We start from the raw sequence: 23,381 nt of genomic DNA on the forward strand, positions 1-23,381 counted from the left end.
AATAATACTGACAGGAGGGAGGGAAATCCTGGGTAGAAGAGAGCAGTTCCCCAGCAAAGGCCCCATCCTCAAGCCTGGAAACCCACGGCCCTAAATGGGAACAGGCATTCCTGTCTTCACACCCAGATGTTGACCTTTGGCCTGCCACACCCCCCTATCCTGTACCCATATAAACCCCAAACCTCGGGCTCCACAAAGAGAAGAATAAAAATGCAGAAAAGCAGCAGAGCAACAGAGTGGTGAGGCAGAGAAGGAGAGAAGCGACGGAGCATCTGAATGTCGAGAGAAGTTCGGTTGGGGATGGTCAGAGAGGAGATCAGCCGCAGGACAGCCGAACTCCAAGGGAAGATCATCTCCCCACACCATCCCTTTTCCAGCTTCTCATCCATTCCATTGAGAACCACCTCCGTCCAACAATAAAATCTCCTTCATTTACCATCCTTCAATTTCCCTGTGTGACCTGATTCTTCCTGGACACCAGACAAGAACCTGGGTACTAAGAGGGCACCCAGCTGGTTAACACTTAAGCCATCTGCAGATGGCAGAGCTAAAAGAGCACTATAACATGCCAACTGGGGCTTTGGGAGTTGCAGGCACCGAACCGTAAATGCTACCTTGGGGCCAGAGCCCAAAAGTGCTGGCCCCAGCTCCTGCACCTGTGTGTCTGCGTGCTCCCCTTCCTGGAAGGGGTTTGAGCCCATGGCGGCCCAACAGATGAGCCACAACTCTGTCGCACATTCTGGGAGGGGAGTCAGGGAACTCTCCTGTTTCATTAACATAATAAATTATCTTAAGAATGTCAAATTTTAAAACAGCATTTTGATACATCTTAGTCCATCTTGTTTCTATTTGTCAAAGTTTTTCACTTCTTCCATCATTCTTTATATGGTTGTGTGCATTTCTGTGGAAATTTTCTGGATTGAGAGGCCTTGTATTTTACAGGATGCATTTTCATTGCTCATGCAATTAGACAAGGTGATATTACCACCAATATGAAGTACTGTGTAGAAAGAGATTAACTTTTCAAAAATATGTGATTTTGAAAGTTTTTACTGTAAAACTTTTATAAGCATATTTCTACATGCAAGTACCCCCATATACAAAAATCCATTATTCTTTCTTCAGATGGAGTCCAATTATGGAGATGAAAATATCAGTGTTATAGAAAATCATTAATAATAGATATCTTTTCATTATCTTTACTAGAAAGATATTGACTTTTCTAGGAAATATTCACAAAGCAATTCAGTTGATACAAAAACATTCCCAGGACCAGAACATCACCCCCAAAATTTTAATTTTTTCCCTTATTAGTTTTATAAAGGATATAAATATACCACCAAATATATTTTGGATCCTCTTCTGAAAAAAAGAAAACAGCTGGGCACGGTGGCTCACACCTGTAATTCAAGCACTTTGTGATGCTGAGGCGGGTGGATCACCTGAGGTTGGGAGTTTGAGACCAGCCTGACCAACATGGAGAAACTCCATTTCTACCAAAAGTACAAAATTAGCCAGGTGTGTTGGCGCATGCCTGTAATCCCAGCTACTTGGAAGGCTGAGGCAGGAGAATCGCTTGAACCTGGGAGGCAGAGGTCATGGTGAGCCGAGATAGCGCCATTGCACTCCAGCCTGGGCAAAAGAGCGAAACTCCGTCTCAAAAAACAAACAAACAAACAAAAAAAACCCCAAAAAACAAACAAACAAAAAAACCACATCCATTTTTTAATCATATCTTAGGCTTTAGGTATAATTACTTAAATTATAGTCTATGCTTAGAATGCAACAAAAAGGATGCAATGTAAAAATAACCGAGTTAGACAGAATTGTTCTGGAAAAAAAAAAAAAAGAAAGAATTTCCAAAAAGAAAGGTAACGTTTGAATTAATCTGGTTTCTTGATTTATTTTCTGTCTATAGTGGATAAGAAAGTTCCTTACAGACTTGATGGGGCTGGTTCCTAATTAACTCTCCAGGAAACAATGTTTCATCAGGTGTGACCACAAATTAGGAGGAAGGCTGAGGGTGAGAAAGTAGACTGAGTTCCTACAATGTACCTTTGCTTATAGGCAGTCACCTTTTCACATTTAAACACAAACTATATAAACGTTGCAAATCTAATGTTGCCCAGTGATTTGGTTTTTGTCCATGTGGTGAGGAAACTTTACAAGACCAAGCAGGTAAACTCATTTCTGAGTTTATTTTCTCAATGCAGAAAGATTTTTTTAAATCATTGATTCTAGGATGACTATATCTCTTTAGTCACCTTGTTCTTACGATGCTATGTAGTGTGCAAGGCCAGAAAAGAAGGTGAAAAACCCTCCACTGAGGTTAAATAGCAAGTAGAAATCCAAATATATTTATTATTTCTAAGTCTACCATAGGTCATAATGAATGGTTGCTTAGGTCTTTTAAAACACTTTATTTGGTTAAATGTAAAAATATTTAAAAGTCCAAAATGGTACAATCAACCTCCCACTGCAAACTAAACCTCCTACTGGCAAAAAAAAAAAAGTTGTCACATGTGATAAAAGAAAGAAAACTTGAAACACTTAAATAACTGAATTAGAACAGAAAAAAAAGAATGGAGCATAAACAACTACATACTAGAAATTTGTCCTAATCCAATATATATGTCAATCTTTTCAAGGATCAAAATAAAATTAAAAGTATTTTATTTTTGTTCAAATACTTTGTTTTTATTTGAATCCCCTTTTATGCTATTAACATATGCCCTCATATATTAGATCAAAAATCTAAATGTTATCAGAAAACTCAGATATATTTTCATACGATCCTTGGCACAGAAGTATGTTTATGATATTCAAATGTGTGTAATCATCTCTGATGAAATATTTGGAAAGGTGATGGTTTTGTTCTTTTAAAAGCTTAGTCATACATATCTATCTGAAAATTCAAAAACAATATAACAAAAAGCCTGAATTATAACTGAGTTGAATAAAATTAGGATCTAGAAAATATAATATCCAAAAAGAAAATTAAACTCTTTAATGCCTATCATTTAAAAATCCTTCTTTCCTTCTTTCCCTCCCTCCCTTCCTCCCTCCCTCCCTCTCTCTCTCATTCTCTCTTTCTTTCTTTGATGAAGTTTTACTCAGTCACCCAGGCTGGAGTGCAATGACATAATCTTGGCTCACTGCAACCTCTGCCTCCTGGGTTCAAGAAATTCTCCTGCCTCAGCCTCCCAAGTAGCTGGGAATACAGGCCCCTGCCACCACAGCCGGCTAATTTTTTGTTTTTTTAATAGAGACAGGGTTTCATCACGTTGGCCATGCTGGTCTCGAACTCCTGACGTCAGGTGATCTGCCTGCTTGGGCCTCCCAAAGTGCTGGGATTACAGGAGTGAGCCACTGCACCCGGCCTACTTTCTTTTCATATCACTTTTTCATATACAATTACATAAAAGATGTCACAAAGCCTTTACATAAAAATAAAATCTCTCATTCATTATTATTACATATGTATTCATACCTGCAACTATGAATCTGCTGATTTTTTATGTAATTTTAATGCTAAGAAAGGAAACTCAGGCCAAAGAAGAAAGCTTCTGAAGATCTTTAAATTCCCAGTCAGAATTTATCCACAGAGTCAGCGTAATTGGACCTTCCTTTAGAAAGAGGGAAAAGACCTAGTGACCAGTTGATTTCCACAGCCTACCTGTAGTCTCTCAACACTCTTACATCTTCAGGTTATTGTTCTAAGATTTATGCTTTTTCTAATATATTTCTCCATTTATGGTCTTGAATTCAGCTTACTTCACCCCAGACCTGGAAAACTGTCAGCCAACAAGACCTGTCAGGCCCCCAGACAGGTTTTGTTTGGGCATATTATTGACTATACAATGTTTTAAAAAATAGCATCTGACTTTGAGCACTTTAAACGTATACATATTTGGAGCTCCTCCCGAACAACTGGAATTTCTGGTGACCTGGGACCTCTTCCCCCATGACAGCAATTAGTTTGTGTGAAGCTACCCAGAAACCAGATATGTTATCTCCAGTTTCCTCTCCTTTCTTCTATTCTTTGTTGTCTTACTGACCCCCAAACGAAGGACAGGTTCTTATTGAAATCTTAGCTTCAATACCCTTTGTGTTACACTCAGTCTATGAGAATCTGAGTTAAAGACTTCCAGTACAGTTGTTTCTTTCCCAGCTCCATCCTGCAGCCTGATTCACTTGACTGATACCTTGATTCTGCTTCCAAATCTGGGTCCTTACCTGGATCCTTGACTGTTTTCTTCTGCTCTTATTTCTCTTCATCTCATGTTTCATTCTCCCCACTCCACCCCGCACTAGAAAGTGCCAGTAGCATTTAACTTTTTATTAATTTTTAGATTTTAATTATTATCCCTCATATCATTAATATCTAGGTAATATTGTACCATTGTAGAATTTAGATGTTGATTTTTAAAAAGACAAAATTACAAGAAAGTTAACAGTCTAATATCATGGAAAGATTATGAAGGAAAAATTTTCCTTCATACTTCTTACTGAAATACTTGTTTGACGAAGCATTCCTTCAAATTCTTTGTTTAAGCAGAGGTTCAGAGAAACAAGCTTATAACACGATGTGATATCAATCTGCTGTGACAAAGACTTCTCATTTGTCTTTTGCTCAAAAGCACTTTTTTATATGAAACATATAATTGTTTAAGAGCCCAACTTCAAAGTCTAAATTTGTGTGTGTGTGTGTGTGTGTGTGTGTGTGTGTGTTGTCTAATGGTGTTTTTTTGCTCAAACATAATACTTGCAGCTTTGAAATGCATATTAAAATGTCTGGCAGTAAAATTCATGCTTTCTTAATAACTGATATGCTTGTAGTTGAAAGAAAAGGCAGGTTATAGGTTTTCTTTGAACTTTCATTACTATGTAAAATTTAATATTTCAGTTGCATTGTTCCACAAATGGACTCACCCTGACAATGTACTCCTTCGTCATACCCATCTGGGCAGTCCAAGACACCATTGCACAGCTGGGATAAATGAACACATTTGTTGGTACCAAGGCAAGCAATGTGATTCAAGGGGCACTTGATTTCTACCTCCTCGGGACCTGAAAAGATGTAAAAAAGAACAGAATTATGTGTTAGCTTTTCTAAATGGTAAAACTGTTAAGCACAAGAAATTACTAGCATTGTTTTACAAAACAAAACTATAGAAAATACTGTAAGAGTGCTGCTCTTGTTCTCAGAGACATTGAAGTTAGCCTATGTGATTAAACACCTAATTTTTAAAGCTGCATAGGAAAGGAAATATGTATTTTTTCAAATAACGCATTAAAAACATAAATATTCTTTTCAACCATTAAAATAGTATGGATTTAAAATCTGAGGGTTGATTGAGTCATTGTTTCATCTCATATCCCTAGATAAGTTGGGCAGGGTACTTAAACTCCTTGAATCTCAATTTCCTCAGCTGTAAACTATGGATAATGGTTCTCCGCAGATCTCTTGTTAGAATTACATCAGGTAACAGGAACAAAAATGTTTCAGTGGCATTTACTTGAAGTTATGTCAATCTAAAGGTTATATTTAGTCTGTTCTTTAAGAATATGAAGAACATTTAGTTATAAATGTATTTATGTATGACTTCTATTGTTTAAAAATCTTTTACTGAGCAACTACAATAGAATAAAATTTGCTAAAGAACAGGAAGTGAAAGAAAGGGCATACTCATTGTTTTTACACACCAGTGATAACTACTTTGTATAATCACCATTTGTGTTTTTAAGATAAGCTTAAATCAGAACATAGGGTCTTTTCTCAAAGTTTACCCATTCCAAATCTTTATCAAGCATCCAAATTGCATGTTATTTTATCTGAATTTCAGGCTGTCAATTCCCAAATCCTATCTACACTTCTATAAGCACTTTCCAAATCCCCATATGATTCTTAGTCTTATCCAGCTCTTCCAAATCTAAAATGTAGTAATTCCAATATGACTACTATCATGTATTAATCTGACATAGATTATTGCAACAGCCTTGATTCTATAGTCCGACACACTTAGGTTTTAATCAGAACTCTGCCGAATCCATGCGACATTAATTGATTTAATCAAATAATTATTAGTTTTCTCATGTATAAAATGAAACTATCAAATAAGCCTACCTCGTAGGGTTGTTGTGAATGTCAACAGTTATTGACTACAAAGCGCTGAGCACTGCGATGTAGGCTGAGTAGGAATTCAACATGCATTAGTTACATAAATAAATGTAGCATAGCAGAGTGCTTAACAGACTGCAGAGCCAGATTCCTGGGTCCAAATGCTGGCCCCAGTATTCATAAGCTGAGTGGCTTGAGCAAGCTATATATCAAGTCTCTATTTCACAGGGTTGTGGTGAGGATTCTATCAAAAGCTCTTAGAATACTGTCTGGCAGACACTTAATAAATGTTTGGTGTTATCATAGTTAAGTAAAAAATGTTCTCAGAAGGTAAGTTGCTTTTTGGTAAATACTTGTATCTCAAACTGTCTTTTCTGTTGTAAACCCCTTTCCTCCTCCTGAAAAAGAAAGCTCAAAAATTTCATGTTTTACCTTCCCTACTTAGTTGAGGTAAAATAATAATAATAATTAAAAGGCCAATCTAACATATTTTAGGATATGCAAAATTGTGAGAATTGCAGAAGTTTGCAATGTGATAAAATTAGAAAACAAATAAAAGAAAACAAAAATATCATACAAGCAAAAAAACGAACTAGAGTTGCCAAAAGTTAAATATAATTTTGAAATACTTTATCAAATAGGAATTATAGGTGTAAATTATTTTGTTGGATGCTAAAACAGCTTTCTCTCAATGTTTTGTGTTTTGGGGGATATAAACAAATTTTTATGCTGTAGCTTCACTAGCTGAATTGTTTAACAGATTTCTCTGTAAATTTCATGTGTATTTATGTAATTACTACTGTACAAGGCTATTAAATGTCAAACACCTGTCACCCCAAATGCACAACTCATTTTCTGTAACATGCTTCTGTAACTTGAGTATCAATATTTCTAAAAATATATCTTTATTTCCATATATATATGTGTGTGTGCATATATATTAATAATTTGTATAAATATACAAATTTGAATACAAATTACAGGAGTAAAAGTAAGTGAAAGGGTTTTCACTGAGTGCCTCTAACTATTTAATCTTATGTTTATAATATTAACATAAATTCATTTAAAAATGAAGTTTAAAGACACATACATTAATATTAAAAAGCTATAAACTTCTATGACCAACATCATAAAGTAGCTTTTTAAAATTACTTGGCTGATTCACAAAAATTTAAAAACATGCATCCTTGCATAAATGTCCAAGAAATGTTTAGGCCAGTTATATTTAGACCTTTCTGTAAAAGTTCTAAAAGTTACCCTCAGAGAAAACACTTCATAAACCTGAGAAACTTCAGAAATGTTATAGTCAGAAAACAAAAAAATGACTCAGCAGTTCTCACAAGCAGCAAGATTTTTTGTTTTGTTTTGTTTTTTTATTTTATTTTATTATTATTATACTTTAAGTTTTAGGGTACGTGTGCACAACGTGCAGGCCCGTTACATATGTATACATGTGTCATGTTGGTGTTCTGCACCCATTAACTTGTCATTTAGCATTAGGTGTATCTCCTAATGCTATCCCTCCCCCTCCCCCCACCCCACAACAGTCCCTGGAGTGTGATGTTCCCCTTCCTGTGTCCATGTGTTCTCATTGTTCAATTCCCACCTATGAGTGAGAACATGCGGTGTTTGGTTTTTTGTCCTTGCGATAGTTTGCTGAGAATGATGGTTTCCAGTTTCATCCATGTCCCTACAAAGGACATGAACTCATCATTTTTTATGGCTGCATAGTATTCCATGGTGTATATGTGCCACATTTGCTTAATCCAGTCTATCCTTGTTGGACATTTAGGTTGGTTCCAAGTCTTTGCTATTGTGAATAGTGCCACTATAAACATACCTGTGCATGTGTCTTTGTAGCAGCATGATTTATAATCCTTTGGGTATATAGCCAGTAATGGGATGGCTGGTTCAAATGGTATTTCTAGTTCTAGATCCCTGAGGAATCACCACACTGACTTCCACAATGGTTGAACTACTTTACGGTCCCACCAACAGTGTAAAAGTGTTCCTATTTCTCCACATCCTCTCCAGCACCTGTTGTTTCCTGACTTTTCAATGATTGCCATTCTAACTGGTGTGAGATGGTATCTCATTGTGGTTCTGATTTGCATTTCTCTGATGGCCAGTGATGATGAGCGTTTTTTCATGTGTTTTTTGGCTGCATAAATGTCTTCTTTTGAGAAGTGTCTGTTCATATCCTTTGCCCACTTTTTGATGGGGTTGTTTGTTTTTTTCTTGTAAATTTGTTTGAGTTCATTGTAGATTCTGGATATTAGCCCTTTGTCAGATGAGTAGGTTGCAAAAATTTTCTCCCATTCTGTAGGTTGCCTGTTCACTCTGATGGTAGTTTCTTTTGCTGTGCAGAAGCTCTTTAGTTTAATTAGATCCCACTTGTCAATTTTGGCTTTTGTTGCCATTGCTTTTGGTGTTGTAGACATGAAGTCCTTGCCCATGTCTATGTCCTGAACGGTATTGCCTAGGTTTTCTTCTAGGGTTTTTATGGTTTTAGGTCTATCATTAAGTCTTTAATCCATCTTGAATTAATTTTTGTATAAGGTGTAAGTAAGGGATCCAGTTTCAGCTTTCTACATATGGCTAGCCAGTTTTCCCAGCACCATTTATTAAATAGGGAATCCTTTCCCCATTGCTTGTTTTTGTCAGGTTTGTCAAAGATCAGATAGTTGTAGATATGTGGCATTATTTCTGAGGGCTCTGTTCTGTTCCATTGGTCTATATCTCCATTTTGGTACCAGTACCATGCTGTTTTGGTTACTGTAGCCTTGTAGTATAGTTTGAAGTCAGGTAGCATGATGCCTCCAGCTTTGTTCTTTTGGCTTAGGATTGACTTGGTGATGTGGGTTCTTTTTTGGTTCCATATGAACTTTAAAGTAGTTTTTTCCAATTCTGTGAAGAAAGTCATTGGTAACTTGATGGGGATGGCATTGAATCTATAAATTACCTTGGGCAGTATGGCCATTTTCACGATATTGATTCTTCTTACCCATGAGCATGGAATGTTCTTCCATTTGTTTGTATCCTCTTTTATTTCATTGAGCAGTGGTTTGTAGTTCTCCTTGAAGAGGTCCTTCACATCCCATGTAAGTTGGATTCCTAGGTATTTTATTCTCTTTGAAGCAATTGTGAATGGGAGTTCACTCATGATTTGGCTCTCTGTTTGTCTGTTATTGGTGTATAAGAATGGTTGTGATTTTTGTACGTTGATTTTGTATCCTGAGACTTTGCTGAAGTTGCTTATCAGCTTAAGGAGATTTTGGGCTGAGACGATGGGGTTTTCTAAATATACAATCATGCAAGATTTTTTTAAAAGTGATTCATGTGTTGGCTCAAATCAAAGTTTGATTTTTCACTGTTAAGATTGCCAGGTAACTGAGGAACATGATAGCAGGAGTAAAATACCCATCTGGTGGCCAGAAGAGAGGCTCAGCTACTTATAAATTTTGAGAAAACAGAAAAATATGTGTTTATTTTGCAAAGACAACATATAGAATTATTAGATTATTCCTAGTGGTAAAGTTTAGGGACAAGAGAGAAATTAGTCTGGGAGAACTAAAGAGTTAGTTGGTTTCTTTAGACTAGCCACTACAGTCTTTATCATCTTTGATATACTCTTGTCTTGGTTGCCAGGACTACTGGGTAACTCATGAGACAGCTGGATCATGGCTGGATGAACTGTACCATAACCAGTCCTTCCCAAATTTTCATATCAATATACATTAAGACAATTATAATATTTGCAAGCTACACTGGAGTAAATAGCAAATAATATTTTTAGAGGTGGCCCCAGGCCCCGGTAATTAGCCTCACAGTTGAGGGAATAAATATTTCAGACCTCTTTGACCAGTGCTAGGATATTTCAGTTGGAAAACTGCTTAAATCAGTATTTTGTTGTTCTTTCTGGAAAATGGGGAGGCAGACAGGGCAGTTTGAGAAATAGCAATGCCTGCCTCAGACAAAATTCTCTCAAAAGCCAGGCAATATAGATATTTCATATACTGTTGCTTTGGGGATTACTCTATCCTAATTCCCAATGATCATTTGTGCAGTGAAAATATTTGTATCCCATGAAGCTCCTTACAGATTCTGTCCATCCTGTAAATGGACAGAAGAGCCACTCTGATTACTGCTTCTACCCATCCACCAGGGTGAGAAGCATGGGATAATGGGGGCTTCATGAATTCCTGAGAATATGGCAACGTTGCCTTAAATTAAATGATTAATCTCATGAAGACTTTCAGGCATTTGAACATTTCACAGCCAGAGATTATAAATGAGGCACAAAAAGGAACATGGTTGGAGGCTCTCTGGTAAACCTGGCATTACCTCTGTAGTGACTGAATCATGAGGAGTTGGGAGGGACCTGGGACAGGGGCGAGGTGACCAGGTAGTGTAGGACAAATTTCAAAATTGTACCAAGACACTAAACATTTTTAGCAAGTATGGTAGTCCTCATGAGAATGTCACCTCACCTTTCAGCAATGTGCACATTCAGAAAACATTTCCAGTCCTTTAAATCTAAATGTAGGTGACCTAAGCAAGATAGCAAAATTGAAAATGTAATAACTTAAAAAGAAAAACTCCATCATTGGGTGACCCAAATTATATCAACATATGAGGCTAGTATTTATACTTTTAAATTATGTATAAGTCTTGACCAATTAGTCAAAATAGATTTCACTTCTTACACTAAATCTTATTTTACAAATAATGCTCCCAGGATAATGCAAGGATAATGGGATTCATCTGTATACTTCTGAATGTTTAAATTATTTTTAAGTATAGAGTAAATATTTTACTGTGTACATTAATAGGGGATAATAAAGGACATAAGTTCCATCAAATATCTCTTCTGATTAAAGAAAATTGAGATAGCATGTTTTGTGGAGAGGGAAATTTTTCTTCTACTCTAATGGCAGACACAGGCAAATAACTGCACTTGTCACAACATCGTCATATCTTAGCGGAAACAGCATGACTTCTCCTTCCCCGCAGCTAACCTCTCTACCTTACACGGTATTATATCCCACCTTTTGGGTCTTGTCCTATCTAGAATTGCCTCTTGGTTTTATTTCCCATCTATTTTCCCAATATTTCAAAGTCCTGTACCTGCAACCTCACTCAATTTTCTGAACTTATGCCCAAGAATAAAGTTGCTTTTGCTCTTTAAACTTTCCTTCAAGCAGTATCCCTTTTTGCCTACTGAAAAAATTTACTTTTAAACTTCTTCAAAACATAGACTGCACCTGCTGCATGCCTATTCCCATGTCACGCTAGCCTCTGCTTCTAACTTTCTGCCGAACTTCTCTCCAGGGCCTCTGTGGTCCCGGCCACAGTGAAGCCAGAGACATGCGAAGTCCTCCAAAGACTGATCAGAATACCTCTCTCTTAGAACATTTTCCACCATTCTTTCTCAGGCCTCTTATATTCTATTCACACCATTATTTTTGTTATTCCTCACAGCGTTCCATGGACATGCTTGGACACATTTCACACATGCTTTTTCATAAAATCCCCTCCACCTTTTGCCTGGGAAACACATGATTATCCTTTAACTATATACTGTCATTTCTTTTCCTGCAACTTTTCTGACTTCTCCAAATTCTGTGGCAGATTATAAATTTGCTCATGATTATTATTTCTAAGTATTTTTCTTCAAAATAAGACTATGAGATATCTGATGTCATTGATTATTTCTCATCCATCTCACCAATGCAAACACCTGGCAGGTTTCTTGACACGGAATTGGTGCTTGGCATACCATTGTTGAAGGAATACACACTGCATTTTAACTCCTGGCTAATTTCTACTTCCTCTGACATGTTAGAAGTTACTCTTTTCCACCATTAATGCATTCTTTGAACAGATTCTACAAATGCTACTTTCATCTCACGAATACTCTCAAAATTATAATGGTTCTCAATTGCTGGTCACAACAAAACCAAACTCCTTAGCCTGATCCCATCATCTAATTGAAGCTTCATTAACATTATTTACAATCAATTTTAAGTATTTATACACTACTTCATTCACTGTCATCTTTCACCCTCCCAAAATACACCAAATATATTCCCACTCCTGGATCTTTCTTTATGCAATTCCATCATCTAGACAGGAAACCTCTTTTTTATTTGCCTAAGAAAATCCTTCAAGGTTAGGCTCAAACCCTAGTCTCTCCATAAAGTTTTCTTTGTGAAAAACAGCATAATACAGTGAAAAGCATGTTAAGGTTTAGAGATCAAAGACTTGAATCTGAGTTTCAACAGCCATTTGCTTGTCTAAACTCGCATAAAGTACTTAACCTCACCAAGACTCTTCTTTCACATTTGAAAAATAGGGATTAATAATACTTTCTGCCTGACACTATTGTGATAGGAACAAATAAAATCATGGTTGGGACACACTAGGCAAAGGGGAGTTTTTTGTGGATGTCATTGCTCTCATTTTGTTCAATGAACTTGTGCAGACATTGTCTATATCACACTTTTTTTGGTACAGGCCTCATTGTATAGTTTATGAAATGTATCATATATGCATGGTTGCATATATCTCTTGAGGCCCAAGGACTTACATTTATTTGTTTTTTTCCCACTCTATTTTACAATATTGGGTAGCATAATGTAGCAATAAAAACATATTGATTCCTAGTTGATATAAAATCAAGTAAAAAATACTTTGCTATGTAAAGCTATCACCAAATTTGATATGTAAAGCATAAGATGTCCGTGAAATTCAGAAAATTAAAATTATGCAGTTTTGCACTTCCTCTGATTATCGCTACCTAGTTACTTTAAAAACAGAGTTTTGATTGTATTTTTTAAATTACTTGAAAATTTTAGTAAAGCCTGCTACTAACTCCAAAACACTGAGGGGTATGAGGATTACTTCTACTGAAGTAATTGATTACTTCTTTTGGCACGAAAACAGATCACTGCAGCCTTGACCTCCCTGGCTCAAGGTAACCTCTCAGCTCAGCTTCCCAAGTACCTAGGACTACAGGCTTGTGTCACCAAACCTGGCTAATTCTTTTATTTTTTTTGTACAGACAGGGTCTCACCATGTTGCCCAGGCTGGTCTCAAACTCCTAGGCTTCAGCAGTCCTCCTGTCAGCCTGTCAGTGCTGGGAATTACAAGCATGAGCCCCCATACCTAGCATCTTTTAAATATTTATTCCTGTGAAATCTTTCTCCTTATTAAATTGAAGATCCTATGATTTCTAAGAATTTGTAACAAGTGCCTTAAAAATTAACTTTCCTGGAATTATTTAAAAACAAATGTTTAGTGTCATTATAACTAAGTTATACATGAAGATTTCTAACGTACCATTAACCTGATTTTAAGTGTGTTCTTTTACATGGGTTTGTTTTTTTTTGTTTGTTTGTTTGTTTTTTTGAGACGGGGTCTTGTTCTATTGCCCAGGCTGGAGTGCAGTGGCATGATTGTGGCTCCTGCAGCCTTCACCTTCTGGGCTGAAGCAAACCTCCCACCTCAGCCTCCCATGATGCTTGGCTTTTTTTTTTTTTTTTTTTTTTTTTTTTGTGAGTGGGGACTGGGTGGGGGGCAGATTCAAAGACAGAATTTTGCCACATTGCTCAGACTGGTCTCAAACTCTGGAGCTCAAGCAATCTGCTTGGCTTCACCTCCCAAAACACTGGAATTACAGGCATGAGCCACTACACCTTGGCCTCTTTTATTAAGAATGCTTTTCACACACAGTTAGATCCATTTTCTTGGATGTATTACAGACAAACTATCATCTTTAGTATTTTAAGGTGGAAAGGTAATTTTTATGTAGTTATTATAAGAGTATGAAAAAATTGCATTATAATATCTGTAATTACCATAGCTGAGAATTCAAAACAGTTACAGCAATCTAGACCACTTACAAGACTATCAAGAATGTGAACAACATCATTTACTCAATGTTATTTGGGAAAATTAGTATATAATATAAAGATAGTTAATATCATACTTATTATTAAACATAATATCGAATCACATAATATCTTTACAGAAGCAATACAACTTTCCCAGAACAGTGTTTATTTCATAAGATCTTGTTCTTATTTTCAAATACAAATTACTTTTACGTCTGAGCTACTTCACCTGACAAACTTATATGTAAGTGCATTAAATAAAACAAATTTATAGTATTTCAAATAAAATTAAAATTGGATTTATGAGTTTCAACTTCCAAGTAAAACAATATTAATTGAATCATTTGTTAATCTGTATGATTACACTTGAGGATGCAAGAATACAAATAAGAACCTCTAAAGATTCATATGCACTCAATACTAATAGTAACTCACTCAAATCAAGTAATTTATCTGTAAAATAGGTTCCAGTAATGGTTTTTGTGTTTACATATTTCAAATGGATGTTGTGAAGATTCACAAACTGCAAGAGATGTAAAGGTGATTGATTTTGTCCAGCTGCAGTACCCTTTAGCCATCTCTGACATCTAATTTTTAAAGCCCTGGGAAAGGAGTTATTGTAGCTTTGATAATTTGTTTTAGGATTTAAATATCCTTTCTCTTTTGAAGACTCAGTTTAGGAAATTTTGTTTGCATCTAACATATAGAGCTTTATTTATGTATTTAATATGTGAAAAACATGCCTGATCACCTAAAAAGAGAACATCTGCTATGACCAAAGTACCGATGGTATGTATTATTATGAATATAAACAATGGATGTCTAGTTAACATCCTTTTACTGAAGGGTTTTAGATCACGTCAGAAAATATTGTCATGTTAAAATAGCCTCGTGTGTGTGTGTGTGTGTGTGTGTGTGTGTTTTCTGCTAACTTTAGAATATATCAAGTGATTTTTATCAGTTTAACTGCAAGTTGGCACCTGAATCCAAAAAGTATAGGTTAAGTCATAACATTTTCCTGCACTGCAACTATAAACACTTAGAATATAGACAAAGTTGGCAAATAAAAAATATTGTGTGGACATAGCCAAAAATTATTGTCATTAGTTATAGCCTTAGAAATAAGAAATATATTAGGCATATTGAGTGTGTTGCTTTCTGACCTTTCATTACAAAAGCAAATAGATAAGAAAATAAATGAAATCACTGTTTTATAAGTAATTGACATTGCAGCATTACCTCTCATCAAACCCCATATTAATAGAAGGAACTCAGCCTGGATGATTAAAAATCAGTGCTCTTTTAGGTGTTTTAAATGCTCCTTTATTCTTCTCCATGCATTCTTCATATTTCTGAATTGCTGGATTACCCTCACACTCTCCTTGTTAAAAGCTCCAGAAATTTATTTTCTCCTTCGTCCCCCTCCCTCCACTTCCACCTAGGTTAAAATGTTTTTTTTTTTTTTTTTTTTTTTAATCTCTTACAGCCCTGTTCTTTGCTAGCCAAGTTGATATACTAGGTTCTTTCATGGGTGATACATGTGCATTAAACAGGATTCTTATGAAAACAATGAATCAGTCCTAGAGACTGAAATTACAAGCCCTCTGTGAAAATAATAAAAGTACTTTTGTTTGAGGGAAGGACAATTGTTGATTGATTCTCATATCACATTTCTTGGGTGGCAATTTGCTGACTTGTAAAGTTGGCTCTCTGACTTTTTAAGTGAATAAACACATATTTAATCAATGAATCAGAAAGAAGATGCTCTTCAATTTTCAATTTTTAGAAATCCTATTGAGTCCTTAAGATATAAAACACATGTTCCAGTCATAATTTAAAATTTCTCTGTAAGGAAAGGATTTACTCAATTTGCTGATTTAAGAAAAACTTAGGAAGCCAAAGATGAAATGTTTCACTTGTATCTTTTTTCAGAAATACAGAATAGAAGATAAGTATTTCATCTCTAAAAGCAAAGCTTTTTCCTCTTGTTCTTTGGGACTACTTTACCTGTTCTAACTGGGTGATAGCTCCTAACTGCAATTTTGAAGTTCAGGGCAGCTTGGAGAGCCTACCCAATTAGAAGCAGGGATAACTCCCTGGGAGGAGGCATGTTAAAAGACTAATGTCTGACAGGAAAAGACAAGCCAAAATCAGAGAGTTCCACACAACTCTCAGAGGAAAGGGGTCTTACTGCTAGAAAGGGACATTGAATGGGAGCAGCCAACTGGCTCATCCACTTGTCAGACAGCTGAGTCATTTGATCTTTGATTCCACAAATGTGTTAGAGATTGCCTCTGAGCCAAACTGTGCACACAGAGATATTGCTATTGGCCACTCTTAAGAGGCATTTGTTTTTTTCTTTTTAAGATACCTGTAAAAGAAAGAGGATTCTTTGTCCATCTTCTTCCTCTATAGGCTAAAATAATAAAAAGTTAGATGCAGGTCCCCAGTTAAGGCTTAAAAACCAAAGGCATGCTAATGTCAGCTGGTTAGTGGAAGAAAGGGTTTTGGTGGTGTGATGGCCAAGTGATAATCGTTAAAGGAATTATCAATATATAAATCATTATCAAAGTCCTTGAAAGTCACTATTTAGCTTTCTGAAAAAAAAAAAACACTAAGAAAACCAACATTTGATGACTAAGTATAAAAGAAACCCAAACTAGTAAACACAATGTCTCTGTCCTTTCTTGTTCTCAGATTAAGAAACAATGAGAGTAAGGATACTTTTGAATCCACAGAAAGTATTATTTCTGGTCAAATGAGCTCATTTCTATAATTTAAAAAAGAGTAAATCAACTCCACAAAAACTGGAAAACAAGCATTTTTATTTTATAGATCTCCCTTAAGACAACATTAAATTATATGTACTGGCCTAAAAACAAAACAAAACAAAACAAAACAAAAAATATCTTTCTGATTCAGGGAGAAGTTTGCTCTGTGACTGTTGGTCAAATGACACAGATTCACTGCAGTATATGCAGACAATGTGTAGAAAGATCTGGCATATTTATCAAAACAAAAGAAGTTGTTCATTGGTTATTTTACTTGGAAAAATAATTCTGATATTTTCCTGGATTGAGTGGATGAGGACAAAATAGAGATGAGAGAAGACACAATAAATAAGGGAGAGACCTGATTAGCATAAAAGTAGTATTATAGTGAGAGGATCAGTTAGAGCACGTATAGTTAATCGTCTTTCACTGGAAGAATCATAGTGCGAGACACGGTGATTTTTATATAAGCCAATTTACACTTGAGAGGAAGAAAGAATGTTAAACAGCTCAATTTAAAAGTCATAGGATGATACAAACATTTAAATATACCAGTCCTGAATCATTGGTAAAGTATATGCATTTTATGTTTCAGACCCAAAGTGAATGTTGTTGATGACAAATATTCTTCAAAATTTAATTTCTTATGGCATTCGAAATGACATTAACTCTGAAAACGATTTTATGATACACTTTTAATGAAAACAAACTGTCCTTTATTGCATTCTGTAAAAGTAGCATTAATAGGATAATTGCTGTTTATTGAGTACTTCCTATGTTCCAGGCTCTGTGGTGAGCACATAATGTCCATTATCTTATTAAATCTTCACAATAACATCATGAGTTAGGTATTATAATTGCTATTATAGAGAGGAGGAAATGGAAGATTGCAGAGGTTGAATACTTTCTTCAAGGTCACAGAGTTGTAACGCTATTATTTGAATTTAGATCTCCTCTGTCTTCAAAACCTGGTTTCTTTATTACTGTACTACATTGTGCTGCAATCTCAGACAAAGCAATGAAGTCTAATTATGTATCTTTTTCTGTCTCAATCTGCCTTTTTTGTGTAGTAGACTATGGAAGAATCTTGAGGAAAAGGGAAGAAAATCACTTGAGATGTCAAGATTTTGAAGCCATGCTATGCCAGTACTAAAACAGCTCTTACAGTCAGGGTGATACCCAAATATTTAACAACAGATGAAATATACTGTACAGGTCATAGCTTTTACCAACAGCCATAAATAGGCAACTTGAGGGGAATCTTGGCCATTTGTAGGTGATCCATGAACTCTGGCTGTGGGAGAAAGGGAGAAAGGGATGGGGTCAAGAGCTGGCAAATGAGAGACATCACAGGCAGGCTGACAGGCAAATAGGTGGAGTCATCTCAGGGTAGCCTCTCGCTCTGCCCACCTGTGTCTGAGCCAGCAGGAGATTATTTGAGGGGTCCTGTGATGGTACTGGGTAGCAGCCGTTTAAAATCAGAAGTGTTTTCATATTTTATTAACCGTTATGGCTGTATCATGAACACCAGTTAAACTGCATAGAGGAACTGTATTTGTCTGTTTTCAGTAAATCCTAACTATGGGCATGATCTCACATGCTTTGCCTTGATGACAGAATACTTATTCACTTGACCCTAGGTTGTCCTTAGTGAATACAAGTAAGTTTTTCAATAGTGTGTATTGCTAAGGTAAAGCCCAATTCTTACAATAATCAGCTAACTGACCCTTACCACAAAACCCTTCCTTTAAGCATTTAATCAGTCTATCACCATGTGCTTATTTTCTCTTTGGTGGGCCATCTTCTGAGATCAAGCAGACCAGCTACATGACAGTTGCTACGTCTTCCTGGTGAAGACCTGCTAGTTCTGCCACTTGGCACAGCCTCAAGGCCTGGTTAGCTCAGCAGGTTGAAGCCCAGCATGAAGGATGTCAACATCACAGGTCCAAATACCATATGGTACAAGGATCTGTCTTTCCATTTTTCAGCCTCAGATCTTACCTCCTAACATCTGCCACCCATATATCCTCTTTGTGCTAGAACTGACACTGGGCAAGTTAGTACCTTTGAAGCAACACAAAACCCTAATAGGAAGGATGGATACCACCTGGTAATCAATTGCATATTAAAAATGACAAAGCCTTAACTGGGCTTGAGTTGAAGTTCAACTTGCCAACACTAAACACTCAGCCAGATTATCCCTAGGAAATGCTGCAAGGAATCACTACAGGGCCTTTGAGTGAGTTCATATGACTGCCTCAGTGCGCTAAATATTAGGCTGGTGTAAAAGTAATTGCTGTTTTTGCCACTGAAACTAATAGCACCTTGATTTTCTTGTTTTAAACAGAGCTGAATGTCTTCAATTTATTTGAACCATTAAACAACTGCTAAATACACAGTATTTGGTGACTAGCGAATCAGCAAAAGGCTTCTCTTTCCTCATAGACCTCATCTACTGGCAATAGTAATTTTGCTCTACATTTTATAAAGCAATTACACCTTTCACAGCATACTAGATATGGAGGTTTATTTAGAGTAAAAGAAGAACACAGAAAACAATGAGATTCAGATTGAAACACACACACACAAACACACACACACACAGAGTTGTAGCATTACTAATAGCGGTAATGACACTAAACTACTAAATAGCTTCTGAATGGCCTGCAAAAATGTATCAACTAAAGATATCTGTTATTGAGATACTACAGAAGAATTCCTTACATTTATGGACAATTCTAATGATTTATATAATTGCAATACCCCTTTGGGAAAATGTCTTGGCTCAGGAAAAAATACAAAACTGTAACAATAGAAAGATTTTTCCGGTTATCTATGTTGTAGGCTATAAAAAAGGTAGAAACATAAATGAAACTCATATCAAGCAAATACACTAGGTAAACATTTCCCTCATCACTCTATCCTGTTTGAGGGACTCCAAAGCTGGTCAGCTTTACAATGAATTCTGCTCTACGATAAATACTGTTGTAGCAAGATTCCAGTGAGTCTTGTCTCCTCCATCAAATCTTCTTTCAGATATATTTGCAAAGAAAGTCATTGATTTATTTTTGTTTCATCTGCCCTTTCTGACCACTCATACCCATGGTAATGAGCAGGAAAATGGTCAACGGGATCTGAAACAAGAAGGTTAAGAAAAAGCAAAGGTCAACAGAAATGTACAGAATGGAAAATCAGGCACTGGGCAACAGACATGACCCAGTTTCAATCTGGCCTTAAATTCATAACATGACTCTTGAAAAGGTTCTTTTCTACAGAAGTTTGAACAGGTATATGCAAATAAAAATTCCAAAAAAGTAGAACACATTTTTACTTTTAAGTTTAATGTTTATTTTATTTATTCTGTAAGAGAATGCTGAAGAAGGTATTTGTCAATTCAATACCTTTACTACATGGAATCTGATTGAAACCTCGTTGAAGACTGACCTTTAAAGATTTGAGTATGTGAGTGCATGCACACACACACATACACGAACAATAATTTGGTAAAATAAAAAATAATGCTCTCCTATAAGCAACAAATATATAAATATACACATATATATCTGTCACTTCTAGAAAATATACAAATTCTTCTCTGCAACATTTTTCTTGTAGCTTCACCTATGTTCTCATTATGATATTATCTAATGAAGTTGATTAATGACAGCAATGGTAGAATAGCACAGTATTTAACACAGAAAGAGTAATCCAGGGAATTTCTTTAAGGATGCTTATTTATATGTAAAACTATCATGGAAACACTGTTATATTATTTTATTACAACTAAGATACACCTCAAAGCTTCTTCAAATATGACAGCTTAAAATTATTCTAGAATAATGTCGATATTTTGATATTTTATGCTGGAGTTCATCAAGGGTTTCGTCTTCCTTGATATTATTAAACAATTTCACCATTTTGCTACTCTGATCTGATTTTCATGGATTATGTCTCTCCTGAATTTGTATGTATGTGTCATAATAAACATTTGGTAAATGCCACATTCAGAGCCATACTATGCACTCTAAAAAAAAAATGCCAAACTTTAATGTACATCTGAATCACCTAGAGGTCTTAAAGTGCCGATTATGATTCAGTAGATATTTGTTGGAATTAAAATTCTGCATTTCTAGAGGTTCCCAGGCAATGTCGGTGCTGCTTCTACACAGACTACTCTTTAATTAAAGTGTAACGTTCTAATGCCTCCTAAAAGTAGACTTAAAACTCAGTGCCCATTTTCTGGAAATACGTTCATTGAAATCGAGCTCCTAAACAGAGCATCTCATTTCATTCAACCACGAATTAAACACGATGTCGCTTACAGAAGAACATGCACACTTAGTTTTCATCTTTTTATGAATATTAATATATTGGCACATCCTGGAAATGCTGACCTGTCACAGATTCTTATGAATGAGTCTGTCTTTGGAAGAGCATATGCATTCATAGTCAGGTAAAAATCTTCTAAACACTACATAGGAATTTGCTTGTATCATCAAAGAAGAAATAAGAAAAATGTCATGGGTTATGAAGAAGAAAAGAATAGAAAAGAAGAACCAGATATAAAATGTGAGAAATTATGAAAAAAGAAGAAGAACCAGATATAAAATGCGAGAAATTATGAAAAAAGTCTGTTTTCTGTGGTTTGTTTTTAGAAACAGAATTGATAGCATGAAAGTACAAATGATCTGATCATATGATGTCATATCTGACAGCTCGGTTCAAATTTTATCAGTCACTTCTCAATTTACTGCACATTATCATACATCAAGGATCAGCAGCCTCAGTAGCTATGAGTCAGAACTTGTGACATAAGAAAAACAAAGGCAGAAGACCAACTTCCACTTTATTTGCAATTTCTCATATATTATAAATATATTAGAAGTAGAAATATATAAATGCACACACAGACATCCCCCAATTTATTTTTCTTCTTACTTTCATTTGTTTCCTTATTTTCTCAAAATTTACTTCTGGAAAAGTGAGGTGGAGAGTTTATGTATCTGGGAAACTGGCATGAAGGACATTTCAAAATACTTTTTTTAGAGGCAACTATTTTCTCTCCTCTGCTACCTGCAATTACTCACACCTCTACCACTGCATGTACTAACCATGCTTTCTTCAATTTTTAATTATGTTGTTAACAGAGATCCTAATCTGGGTCTACTTGAAAACAAACAAAAAACACCTCTGGTAGCAACTTGGCGTCCTAGTTTACAGCTATAAAATAACCTAGAATAACTGAATAAGGAAGTACCGGGTTTTTTCTCCTACACCACATTTGTGTGAAGTGAGAACAGGAAGGAAGGTCCAGGATAAAGAAATCAGGCGATGATAGAAAAATAAGCAAATAAGCACTGCAGGATGTTTGCTGTTTGGCCAAACTTCTCTTTAATTTTCCCTACGATTGAAAAGCTATAAAAATGCTTAAAGAGTTGAATAGGTGTCCACTAGGCCTGAACTTTAGCGCAAATCTACTGAACAAACTATGATGATAAATTACAAAATCCTGAAGAAAAAGTTGATAAATGCAGAGTTTTTTAAATGGGCAATGAAAAATTACATTTATTTTATCATAAAGACATTTAACCTGACTTTTAACTTTTATGAAAATAAGAGAATAAAAAAATTATATTTAGGATATAAATTAATTTTGAATCTTTTAAGACATGTTTCTAAAAGTAAAAATAACCTAACACAGTCATACGAAAAAAATGCAGAACCACTAAAACTTAACGTTAGTATCTAAATATTGTGACTTTTCAAAAGTACATCTCTAAATACTTGAAATTTTTGGTTTTATAACATTAAAAACTTGAGTATCTCAGGAGCAAATGTACCTATATAACATTAGTATTTGATGCTAAGATACTATAAAGTATAGAAAACTAATTTATGACCCTAATAAAATATAGGCATGAAATTGTTTAGTTGCTGAAAAGGACTAGTGGAGTAATACACATTTTTAAACAAAACCAAACAAACAAAAAACAGGAAGACTTTGGTGGTCTGAAATGAACTCCTTCATCTACAACACTCTAACACCTTGTACTATGTACAAAGTTCTACTGAGGAGTAAAAGTCCCAGACAACATCTTTAAAATCCTTTTTTTTTTTTTTCTTTTTTGGCTAAGGTTCTGAGCAATATAGTTCCATAGGCTACAATTCTGGACCTGTTCTCTTCAAGACATTTTTTTTAAATGTGAGTTTTAGGACACTGTCATTTTGAAATATAAATCCTCTTGCAAGTTTCCTACCTGGTAAAATAACTTTTCGCAATGGTACCCTTTTATAATGTTCACGATCTATTATGGCATCAGTAAAACTGCTGGAAAAATACATTTTTACCAGAAATCCAGTCCCTTAAAAAAGTATCTAAATCATCCCCACTCCCCCAGCCCCCATCCTGCAAAGGAGCTGCTTCTTGGCTAGCATTTGGAACAACTGCATAATGGCTCATATCTTTTCAGTCATTCCAGGGAAACTATGATGGAAAGAAACTACCTCTGCACACTTCCATATTTGTGTGGTGAATCTCTGCCACAGACATTCTCTGCATGCTTTCTATCTTTGAGTAGGAAATCTATTGTATGT

The 23,381-nt window shown here is 35.6% G+C and overlaps 1 protein-coding gene across 3 annotated transcripts in view; it reads right to left on the reverse strand.

The window, feature by feature from the left end:
- LRP1B (LDL receptor related protein 1B) overlaps positions 1-23,381 on the reverse strand; it is a 1,899,594-nt gene that overhangs the window by 1,244,041 nt on the left and 632,172 nt on the right. For all 3 annotated transcript variants that reach the window (NM_018557.3, XM_017004341.2, XM_047444771.1), the window contains exon 3: positions 4,933-5,070. In NM_018557.3, coding sequence (NP_061027.2) covers positions 4,933-5,070 — 138 coding nt within the window. The remainder of the gene's footprint in view (positions 1-4,932; positions 5,071-23,381) is intronic.

Source organism: Homo sapiens, chromosome 2 (assembly GCF_000001405.40).
Source record: "Homo sapiens chromosome 2, GRCh38.p14 Primary Assembly".
Taxonomy (NCBI): Eukaryota; Metazoa; Chordata; class Mammalia; order Primates; family Hominidae; genus Homo; species Homo sapiens.